We start from the raw sequence: 12,155 nt of genomic DNA on the forward strand, positions 1-12,155 counted from the left end.
GTGGAGATCTGTTATGGCAGCTGAAGGAAACTGACAACCCCTGATTCATGGGAGGAGCCTGAGTGGTCTTGGCAAATGGACACAGGCAGTGTCCTGGCGAGGGGCTGGGCCGGGGGCAGCTCTAGGGGGTGAAGGTGGAGGTGAGTTGGCAACTTCAGGAGAGGGCAGGGTGGCCTGAAGCCCAGCAGATGACACTCCAGTGACCAGTGAGCAACTGTGGTCCCTCAGGAATGAAGGGCTGCAGGTATCTTCCAGAGGGGAACCTGCCATGGGAGAGGCAGAGGGGACCGTCCTCCTCTGGGTTGGAACCTGAGGTCACAGTGCCCTTCTTGCTGCCTTGGGTCTAATGAAGAGAGCTGGCAGCTTGTACAACAAGCTCCCACTGAGTGCTAGTCATTAAAGCCCCCTTTCTGAGGACGAGAAGCCAGAAAGGAGCACATAGGGACGCATCTTTGGCTACAGGAACTCCAAGTTCAAAGGAACCAGGCATGAATCTCCACAGAGCACCAAATGACTGCAAAACCCTTTTCTTAATAATATTTTATTGTCAGTTATAAATATTTTCCATCTGTCCCCTATTTACAACTGCAAAATAGTTTGATATCATACCATCACCTACCAATCAGCATCTTTCTATAAACTCCATGAAAATTGAATAGGAAATAAAAAGCTCTTCTTGGGGGCCCACTAACCTGGTTCCCCAGACTCCAAACAACCCCACGTGGACAGCAGGCAACGTTGCAGCAGGTGCTACACAGTAGCAAAGAGGCAGCCGGAAGTGGCCCCGGTGGGTCAGGACGCGAGGCTCCTCAGGACGTTGGTGATGCTCCAGTGCTGGCCCGAGCACTTCTGCAACACCAGCTGGAAGCCGAACTCCAGGTCGCTATTCTCCTGCAGCTCCAGACAGCGCTTAGACTTGCGGTTCTGGATGGGTCCTCCCTAGGGGCCAGGGCAGACAGTGGGGTCAGAGGGCATAGAGGCAACATGCAGAAATTCGGGAGCCTCAGGCCAAGTGGCTGGTGAGGGCTGACATTATCTGTGTGGCCAGATCCCAGGAGGTCAGCATTCCCATGAAACTGCAGGCTCCCCTATCACTCATATATTAGTCTCCTCTGGAAGACTGAATATGTGCCACAGCTGTCTTCACAGAGCCCTAGTTCTTCACTAGGAGAGAGGCCTCCCCACCCCTAGGTAGTTCTGTCTACCTAGCTGGGCTGTGGTACACCTGTTTGCACCTACAGCTCCTACCCCAGGGGCTGGGTCCTTTCTCTGAAAAGCCTAGTTTCTTGGGACGACCCATCATTGGCCTGCATTTGAGCATCACCAGAGGCCTGGGGCTTCCTGCTCCTAGGGTCCATGCCCCCAGTTGGACCTCTGGAGTCATCAATACTGGTTTCAACCAAAGTCAGCCTCCTGGTTACTGTCTCTTAGGCCACTGGGCCCCCTAAGTCCTGACATGCATGATTTTTCCCCATGCTACTGAGGTTCCAGAATGTTTGTAGCCATTCATACTCAGTTTATGACCCAAAGCCCCTTGATGTTCTGCTCCTCATATCAGCCCTATAGCAGCAAATAGGAAACCCCCAATTTTTGTAGTGAAATCTTTTCAGGGCTTGGACCCTTTGGGTTGCTGGCTGTGAGTCTGAGGTGGCAGCCTGGACTGTCTGAGCATCTCTGAGTTACCACCAAACTTGTGCTCAACTAGACTTTGGCCTCCCAAGCAGGCAGAATTGCTTTGGTGGGTGGAGGTTCTTATAATTGGACCCCTTGTAGCTTAATGGCACTTGAGTATATGGTCAAACTCACTTTTTCCCCCAGAACCTACTCCTGTATTTCTGTCTCAGGTATTTGTGTGAGAAACATGGACATTTTCATTTATCTATCCTTTCAGCATCCAAGTAAGCCTCAAGTCCTGGCAATTCTACCTCTCTTGTGTCATGTGACTGTCCCCTTATCCCTTTCCCATCACACTTGCCCTGGTTCAGGCCACCAACTTCTTTCTCTCACTGGGACAACTGTGTCAGCTCCCTAATGGATCTCCCTTCCAACCTCCAGAGGCAGGAGTAGTGATCTTTCTAAAATGCATGTTTGGCCTAAAGGACAAAGTCCAAGCTCCTCAGTGCAGCACTGAAGGCCTCCATGGCTCAGTGCTGCCTTTCTAGCCTCATCTCTGATCCTTCCCCAGCTCCATGACTTTTGCTGCAGCCACATCAAATCCCTTGTACTTTTCTGAACCCATTTACATTAACTCAGGGTTCCTGCACTTTAAGCAAGCTGTGCTCTCCGCTTGGGATTCTTCCCCATGCTCCCATGACAGGCTAAGCTGCAACCATGTATCAAAGCTCAACTCCTCCATTTCCTCCAGGAAGTCTCTACTGCCCACCCATGCCCCACCTCCACTTCCACCTCCTCAGTCTACAAGCTGGGCTGGTGCTCTTCACTTTGTGCCTTTTCCAGCTCACAGTGGGAAGTGCACTGAGAGAGGGAGAGGTGGCAAACTTCTTGAAGGATGTCATCCAAGTCTGCCATGACCATTCCCATAGCAACAACGGACATCTCAAGAGAGTGTTAAGACTTGGTTCTCTACACAATGGGGAAAGGACAGTCTTTTCAATAAATTGCCTGAGAAAATGCAAAAGAATGAAACTAGAGCCCTATCTCTCGCTATATATGAAAATCAAATCAAAATAGGTTAAAGACTTAAATCTAAGATTAGACTACAAAACTCCTAGAAGAAAACATTGGAGAAACACTCCAGAATGTGGGAAACACTCCAGGACATTGATCTGGGCAACAATTTCTTGAGACAGACCTCAAAAGCACAGGCAACCAAAGCAAAAATGGACAAATAGGATCACATCAAGTTAAAAAGCTTCTGCACAGCAAAGGAAACAATCAAAGTAAAGAGACAGCCCACAGAACTGGAGAAAATATTTGCAAACTACCCCTCTGACAAGGGATTAATAACCAAGATACATAAGAAGTTCAAATAACTCAATAGCAAGAAGGCAAAAAATCCAATTAAAAAATGGGCAAAAGATCTGAACAGACATTCCACAAAAGACTTATAAATGGCAAACAGGTTATGGAAAAATGCTCAACATCAGTAATTACCAGAGAAAAGTAAGCAAAAACTATAATGAATCATCTCACCCCAGTTAAAATGGCTTTAACCGAAAGACAGGCAATAATAAATGCTGGTGAGGATGTAGAGAAAAGGAAACCTTTGTACATTGTTGGTGGGAATGAAAATTATTACAGCTACTATGGAGAACAGTATGGAGGTTCCTCAAAAAACTGAAAATAAAACTACTGTATAATCTAGCAATCCCATTGTTGGGTATATACCCAAAAGAAAGGAAACCAGCATATTGAAGAGATATCTGCACTCCCATGTTTATTGCAGCACTATTCGCAATAGACAACATATGGAATCAACCTAAGTATCCATCAATAGGTTAATGAATAAGGAATATGTGGTATATACACAGGATGGAATAATATTTAACCATTAAAATAATGAGACTCTGGTTTCACTGTCAAGATGGCTGAATAGGAATAGCTCCGGTCTGCAGCTCTAAGAGAGATCCATGCAGAAGGCGGGTGATTTCTGCGTTTCCAACTGAGGGACCTGGTTCATCTCATTCGGACTGGTTGGACAGTGGGTGTAGCCCACGGAGGACAAGCTGAAGCAGGGTGGGTTATCGCCTCACCTGGGAAGTGCAAGGGGTTGGGGGATCTCCCTTCCCCAGCCAAGGAAAGCTGTGAGAGAGTGTACCGGGAGGAACAGTGCACTCCGGCTCAGATACTGTGCTTTTCCCACGGTCTTTGCAACTGGCAGACCAGGACCAGGTGTCTATACCACCATGGTTCTGGGTTTCAAGCACAAAACAGGGTGGCTGTTTGGGCAGACACTGAGCTAGCTGCAGGAGTTTTTGTTTTTGTTTTTTTCTCAATACCCCAGTGGCACCAGGAATGCCAGTGTGACAGAACCGTTCACTCTCCTGGAAAGGGGGCTGAAGCCAGGGAGCCAAGTGGTCTGGATCAGTGGGTCCCACTCCCACAGAGCCCAGCAAGCGAAAATCCACTGGCTTGAAATTCTCGCTGCTAGGACAGCAGTCTGAGGTTGACCTGGGATGCTCAAGCTTGGTTGGGTGAGGGACATCCGCCATTGCTGTGGCCTGAGTAGGTGGGTTTTTAAAATTTTTTATTATTGTACTTTAAGTTCTGAGGTACATGTGCAGAATGTGCAGTTTTGTTACATAGGTATATGCATGCCATGGTGGTTTGCTGCACCCATCAACCTGTCACCTACATTAGGTATTTCTCCTAATGTTATTCCTCCCCTAGCCCTCCACTCCCTGACAAGCCCCAGTGTGTGATGTTCCCCTCCCTGTGTCCATGTGTTCTCATTGTCCAACTCCCACTTATGAGTGAGAACACGTGGTGTTTGGTTTTCTGTTCTTTGCTGTTCTTATGATAGTTTGCTGAGGATGATGGTTTCCAGCTTCATCCATGGGACATGAACTCATTTTTTATGGCTGCATAGTGTTCCATGGTGTATATGTGACACATTTTGTTTATCCAGTCTAGTGTTGATGGATATTTGGGTTGGTTCCAAGTCTTTGCTATTGTGAATACTGCCACAATAAACATACATGTGCATGGGTCTTTATAGAATGATTTATGATACTTTGGGTACATACCCAGTGATGGGACCGCTAGGTCAAATAGTATTTCTAGTTCTAGATCCTTGAGAAATGGCCACACTGTCTTCCACAATGGTTGAACTAATTTACACTCCCACCAACAGTGTAAAAGTGTTCCTATTTCTCCACATCCTCTCTAGCATCTGTTGTTTCCTGACTTTTTAATGATCGCCATTCTAACTGGTGTGAGATGGTATCTCATTGCGGTTTTGATTTGCATTTCTCTAATGACCAGAGATAATGACCATTTTTTCATGTGTCTGTTGGCTGCATAAATGTCTTTTGAGAAGTGTCTGTTCATATCCTTTACCCACTTTTAGATGGGGTTGTTTGTTTCTTGTAAATTTGTTTGTTCTTTGTAGATTCTGGATATTAGCCCTTTGTCAGATGGACAGATTGCCAAAGTTTTCTCTCATTCTGTAGTTGCCTGTTCACTCTGATGATTTCTCTTGCTGTGCAGAAGCTCTTTAGTTTAATTAGATCCCATTTGTCAATTTTGGCTTTTGCTGCCATTGCTTTGTGTGTTTTAGTCATGAAGTCTTTGCCCATGCCGATGTCCCGAATGGTACTGCCCAGGTTTTCTTCTAGGATTTTTATGGTCCTAGGTCTTACATTTAAGTCTTTTATCCATCTTGAGTTGATTTTTGTAGAAGATGTAAGGAAGGGGTCCAGCTTCAGTTTTCTGCATATGGCTAGCCAGTTTCCCCAACACCATTTATTAAATAGGGAATCCTTTCCCCATTGCTTGTTTCAGTCAGGTTTGTCAAAGATCAGATTGTTGTAGATGTGTGGTGTTATTTCTGAGGGCTCTGTTCTGTTCCATTGGTCTATCTCTCTGTTTTGGTACCAGTACCATGCTGTTTTGGTTACTGTAGCCTTGTAGTATAGTTTGAAGTTAGGTAGCCTGATGCATCCAGCTTTGTTATTTTTCTTAAGATTGTCTTGGCTATGCAGGCTCTTTTTTGGTTCCATATGAACTTTAAAGTAGTTTTCTCTAACTCTGTGAAGAAAGTCAGTGGTAGCTTGATGGGGATAGCACTGAATCTACAAATTGCTTTGGGCAGTATGGCCATTTTCATGATATTGATTCTTCCCACCCATGAGCGTGGAATGTTTTTCCATTTGCTTGTGTCCTCTCTCATGTCCTTGAGCAGTGCTTTGTAGTTCTCCTTGAAGAGGTCCTTCACATCCCTTGTAAGTTGGATTCCTAGGTATTTTATTCTCTTTGTAGCAATTGTGAATGGGTGTTCACTCATGATTTGGCTGTTTGTCTTTTATTGGTGTATAGGAATGCTTGTGATTTTTGCACATTGATTTTGTATCCTGAGACTTTGCTGAAGTTGCTTATCAGCTTAAGGAGATTTGGGGCTGAGACAATGGGGTTTTCTAAATATACAATCATGTCATCTGCAAACAGAGGCAATTTGACTTCCTCTCTCTCTTCCTATTTGAATATCCTGTATTTCTTTCTCTTGCCTGACTTCCCTGGCCAGAACTTCCCATACTATGTTGAATAGGAGTGGTGAGAGAGGGCATCCCTGTCTTGTGCCAGTTTTCACCCATTCAGTATGATATTGGCTGTGGGTTTGTCATAAATAGCTCTTATTATTTTGAGATATGTTCCATCGATACCTAGTTTATTGAGAGTGTTTGGCATGAAGGGGTATTGAATTTTATGGAAGGCCTTTTCTGCATCTATTGAAATAATCATGTGGTTTTTGTCACTGGTTCTGTTTATGTGATGGATTATGTTGCTTGATTTGTGTATGTTGAACCAGCCTCGCAGCCCAGGGATGAAGCTGACTTGATCATGGTGGATAAGCTTTTTGATGTGCTGCTGGATTCAGTTTGCCAGTATTTCACTGATGATTTTCACATTGATGTTCATCAGGGATATTGGCCTGAAATTTTCTTTTTTTGTTGTGTCTCTGCCAGGTTTTGGTATCAGGATGCTGCTGGCCTCATAAAATGAGTTAGGGAGGATTCCCTCTTTTTCTATTGATTGGAATAGTTTCAGAAGGAATGGTACCAGCAACTCTTTGTGCCTCTGGTAGAATTTGGCTGTGAATCCGTCTGGTCCTGGACTTTTTTTGGTGGGTAGGCTAGTAATTATTGCCTCAATTTCAGAGCCTGTTATTGGTCTATTCAGAGATTCAACTTCTTCCTGGCTTAGTCTTGGGAGGGTGTATGTGTCCAGGAATTTATCCATTTCTTCTAGATTTTCTAGTTTTTTTGTGTAGAGGTGTTTACAGTATTCTGATGGTAGTTTGTATTTCTGTGGGATCAGTGGTAATATCCCCTTTATCATTTTTTATTGCATCTATTTGATTCTTCTCTTTTTTTTGTTAGTCTGGCTAGTGGTCTATTTTGTTGATCTTTTCAAAAAACCAGCCCCTGGATTCATTGATTGTTTGAAGGGTTTTTCATGTCTCTATCTCCTTCAGTTCTGCTCTGATCTTAGTTATTTCTTTCCTTCTGCCAGCTTTTGAATGTGTTTGCTGCTGCTTCTCTAGTTATTTTAATTTGATGTTAGGGTGTCAATTTTAGATCTTTCCTGCTTTCTCTTGTGGGCATTTAGTGCTATACATTTCCCTCTACAACACTGCTTTAAATGTGTCCCAGAGATTCTGGTATGTTGTGTCTTTGTTCTCATTGGTTTCAAAGAACATCTTTTATTCTGCCTTCATTTTGTTATTTACCCAGTAGTAACTTAGGAGCAAGTTGTTCAGTTTCCATGTAATTGTGCAGTTTTGAGGGAGTTTCTTAATCCTGAGTTCTAATTTGATTGCACTGTGGTCTGAGAGACTGTTTGCTATGATTTCCGTTCTTTTGCAATTGCTGAGGAGTGTTTTACTTCCAATTATGTGGTCAATTTTGGAATAAGTCCGATGAGGTGCTGAGAAGAATGTATATTCTGTTGATTTGGGTTGGAGAGTTCTGTAGATGTCTATTAAGTCCACTTGGTCCAGAGCTGAGTTCAAGTCCTGGATATCCCTGTTAACCTTTTGCCTCGTTGATCTGTCTAGTATTGACAGTAGGGTGTTAAAGTCTCCCACTATTATTGTGTGGGGGTCTAAGTCTCATTTTAGGTCTCTAAGAACTTGCTTTAATAATCTGGGTGCAGGACTTAGACTCCAACACCATAATGGTGGGAGACTTTAACACCCCACCTTTAATGTTAGACAGATCAATGAGACAGAAAATTAACAAGGATATCCAGGACTTGAACTCAGCTCTGGACCAAGTTGACCAACGAGAACACATGGACACGGCAGGGAAGGCATCACACAGTGGGGCCTGTTGGTGGGTGGGGGGCTGGGGGAGGGATAGCGTTAGGAGAAATACCTAATGTAGATGATGGGTTGATGGGTGCAGCAAACCACCATGGCACGTGTATACCTCTGTAAAAAACCTGCACATTCTGCACATGTACCCCAGAACTTATAGTATAAAAAAAAAAGGGAGATTGTTATTTGCAACAACATGGATAGAACGGGAGGTCATTATGTTAAGTGAAATAAACCAGGCACAGAAAGACAAATTTTAAGACAAATTTTGCATGTTCTTACTCACATATGGGAGTTAAAATTAAAAAAAAAATTGAATTCCTGGAGAGAGAATGATGGTTACCAGAGGCTAAGAAAGGTAGTAGGGAGGAGAGGAAAAAGCAGGGATGGTTAATAGGTACAAAAATACAGTTCGATAGAAGGAATAAGCTCTAATAGTAATGCAACAGGGTAACTATAATTAATAATAATTTATTGTATACTTTAAAATAACTAAAAGTAGAATTGGAATGTTTCTAACACAGAAATGATAAATGCTTGAGGTAAAAGATAACCCAATTATTCTGATTTGATCATTACACATTATATGCCTGTATGACAGCATTACATGTACCCCATAAATATATTCAACTATTATGTACCCATTGATGTAGTCTGGATATTTGTTGAATGTGATCCCCAGGGTTGCAGGTGGGGCCGGATCCCTCATGACGGGCTTGGGCCATCCCCTTGGTGAGAAGTGGGCTCTCTCCGCTCTGAGTCTACACGAGAGCTGGTCATTTAAAAGTGTGTGGCACCTCCTCTCACCACTCTCTCTCCTCCCTTCATCTTGTGACCTGCAAGCTCCCAATTCATCTTCTGCCATAAGCAAAAGCTTCCTGTACAGCCTGAAGAATCATGAGCCAATTATACCTCTTTTCTTTAATTTCTTTGTAGCAATGCAAGAATGGCCTAACACATCCATAATAATTAAAAATTTCTTAAAAAAATTTAAGACTAAAAAAAAACTTCAGTTCTTACAACTGTTGAAATGGGCAGTACCTACTATAGTTAACATATACAACCCTATGACCCAACACTTCTATCAGAAACGTTTATACCAAAAACATGCGCATGAATGCTTTCTAGAACACGATTTATAAAACTAACCTGGAGATAACTCAAACGTCCATCAATAGTACAGCAGACATATAACTCACGGTATATTCATATAATGGAAACCTATATAGCAACAAAAACTATAGCTATACTCGATAAATCTCACCAATACAATGTCGAGCAGAAGCAGCCAGACAAAATACAAACAAACATTATTCTATTTATATAAACCTCCCAAACAGGTAAAATAAAGCCATGATGTGAAAGTCAGGATGGTGGTCAGCTCTGGGAAGAAGGGACTGGGAAGGTGATGGGCAGGAAATCACAAGGGTGTTGCTAGCAGTCCTATTTCCTGAGCTGGGTGATGGAAACCTAGGGATTTGCTTTGTTTTAAACCATGGAGTTGAAAGTGTGTATTTTATACATGTTTCTGTATGTATCCATGTTCTTCAATTGAAAAATTGAAATAAAAAATCCAGCTCCCTGAGAAGGGACTTTGAGTCACAGATGAAGGAGGCAGGGACTGAGAAGCAGGGGGTGCGGGTGGAGGGGACTGTGTATGTGTGTGTTGGGAGGGGACATGGGATTACCGACTTCCTGTGTTGGGGAGATGGCCCAGCCGATCACACAAACCTATTCAGAAGCATTCACACAAATAAAGCAAGATTCCTCCTGCTGTGCCCCACACCCCAGGGCACCCCCCGCCCGGGGAGTGCAGTGATTCAGTGTACTCAACAGCACAGAGACCAAAGAATAAACAGGAAACTGAAACAGCAGCTGCTGGGGCCCACTGTTTGCCAGGGAGAAACCTGCAGGCTCGGCCTCTGAAAGGGGCCCTTGGACAAGCCTAGGAAGGGCCCTGGAATCCCCATGCTGAAAGAGACCTTGAAGGCCAGCCTCTCGCTCTCACATGCCTAATGGCCTCTGTGGCCATGGGACCCTTCAGCTCTGCTTGGCACCTCCAGGGAGAAGGATCTCACCCCCTCCCAAATATGCAGTCTTCCCCCAGCTGCCCACCCTTGGAGCATGCTCCTTCCACTGCGCTAAAATCCTTGTCTTGAGCTCCCCTGAGGCTTCCCCAGCGGCCTGCTGTTCCTCCACACCTTCCCTTCCGGCAGGAGAGGTGAGGCCTGCGTCTCCCAGTTTTTCCCAGCATTTCCAGGTTTAACTTTCCCAGTTCCTGGTGGGACAATTTTGTATAATTTTCCAAACTGGTTGCCCTCCTTTGAACAAGCTCTGGCTAATTTCTGCCCCTCAGGACTGACCACAGTGCCCAGGGTCACTGCCTCACTTATACTGGACAAGAGGCCCCTTCAATATAGCCAAGGAATTGGCACTTTGGGGCCACATGGTGCTCCTGATGGGTGTGAAGCACAGCCTCAAGTTGTCCTCTCAAACTGTGGTCCACCTTGGGTGCCCATCCTGTCCCTTAGAAGCTAGACTCTTAGGCCCAGAGGCATCCCCTGTGCCAGTTGCTCCAAACAAGGCCAGACCATTGCTCCATGGCCCACATTTCCTTAGCTTCTGTGTAAAACCCTGTGGCCTGGGCATATCTGCTGCCCACACCCAGGCTGGGCTGTGTTGCTGATGCTTCTTGAACAGATCTGTGGCCAGTTCCCTGGCCCCACCGCAGTCCTGCCAGCCCAGTGGTTTGTCTTCCCCACCATGCTGGGAGCAGCACGCAGGCAGGGGACCAAAACCAGCCCCGCTCTCTAATTTGCAAGATCTGTTGGCGTTTCCGGAGCCAGGTAGAAAGGGAAGAGTGCTGAGCTAGGATGCTGAGGACACAGCTGCTTTCCTGGCGGTTAGCTGTGTGGCCTGGGCAAGCCTCTCCCCACTTCTGGTTTCATTGTCTGCAGGCCCAAATGGTCATTTCTGTCCTGATTCCTGGAAGGATGAGCCAGAGGACTGATAGGAATCCGTTTATCAGCTATAAACCGTACGGATCGGAGGATCAGGGTGGGGGCTGTGACCAAAGCGCACAACAAACGGGCCCGGACCAAGTGCCGCTGCCCACTCAGCTGAAGATTCTGGCTGCTCAGCTCATCCTTGGGGCCGGCCCAGGCCTTGCCAACAGCGAGGTGCTGTGCAGACCCCAGACAACCAACTCTTGGAGAAACACGTCCCGCACAGAAGACACCACAGCCCTTTCTTTGCTTGCCTTTCAAGGGACACCTTGCCAAGGTCTAGAGAGGAAGGCAGGAGCAGAGGTTTCTGAGACATAAAGCATCCTTCAGAGACTCCCATCTGATGTTTCCCAAGCCCAGCCCAGCCACAGCCTCAGCACCCTAGAGACTAGAAGTGCGGTGACCCTGGGCATTGGCTGCCTGAAGGGATGTGGGAAGGATGGATCACGGCCAAGAGTGGGGTTGGGGGAGGCGGGTGGATGGGACACAACCTCCGTGAGAATATCTGAGCCTGTCAGGGAGGGTGGAGTATGAGGCCAGGAGAGCTCCCTCCCTGGAGGCTGGGAGGGGAGGGTGCTCTAGAACTGGTAGTAAGGCCATGGTGGGGCATCGCTGAGCAGAGCCCTGACCTGCTCCCTGGGAACACATCTGGGATATGGACAGAGGGACCAGGCCACCCTTTGATGCTGGAGCTCTTCAACAAAAATTATAAAAGGTTAAAGTTTAAAACTTGCTTAAACTTTTAAAACAGAGATAGCACTGGCCACCAGCACTGTCTTCCTCCTGTCCCCCTTCTTGACCTCAGCCTCTTTCACTGAACAGACTCTTTCTTCTTCTCTCGGAAAATTTCATTCACAAACATTGCAAAGAAGCCTTCCTTTCCCACACTCAGTGCCTTCCTGGGAAGCTCAGCACCGTGGGAGCAGCCTCCTGTTTTACCAACTGTACTTCTGCCTGCAGGTTCTGCAGCTGAGATGAGAGGAATAACAACTATCACTTATTTACCATTTGCCTAGTACTATGCCAAATACTTTACATGCCCAATTCCAGGTCTTCCTGACAAAAGCCCTGAGAGGTAGAGAGAATAATTATCCCCATTTTACAGGCTTGGAGACTGAGGCCCAGAGAGGCTGGGAGACTTGTCCAGGGTCACA

The 12,155-nt window shown here is 45.6% G+C and overlaps 1 protein-coding gene across 2 annotated transcripts in view, besides 1 other annotated feature; it reads right to left on the reverse strand.

Moving 5' to 3' along the window:
* Positions 1–525: 525 nt before the first annotated feature.
* Positions 526–12,155, reverse strand: part of GALNT18 (polypeptide N-acetylgalactosaminyltransferase 18) — a 351,129-nt gene continuing 339,499 nt past the window's right edge. For both annotated transcript variants that reach the window (NM_001363464.2, NM_198516.3), the window contains one exon: positions 526–939. In NM_001363464.2, coding sequence (NP_001350393.1) covers positions 793–939 — 147 coding nt within the window. In that variant the 3' untranslated portion in view covers positions 526–792. The remainder of the gene's footprint in view (positions 940–12,155) is intronic.
* Positions 9,489–10,464: an enhancer, noted in NCBI's record as "NANOG-H3K27ac-H3K4me1 hESC enhancer chr11:11301387-11302362 (GRCh37/hg19 assembly coordinates)". NCBI's record gives its function as "activates a minimal SCP1, AML or CMV promoter by ChIP-STARR-seq in naive H9 embryonic stem cells {active_cell/tissue: H9 hESC(naive)}" and the evidence as "EXISTENCE:reporter gene assay evidence [ECO:0000049][PMID:30033119]".

Source organism: Homo sapiens, chromosome 11 (genome assembly GCF_000001405.40).
Source record: "Homo sapiens chromosome 11, GRCh38.p14 Primary Assembly".
Classification (NCBI taxonomy): domain Eukaryota; kingdom Metazoa; phylum Chordata; class Mammalia; order Primates; family Hominidae; genus Homo; species Homo sapiens.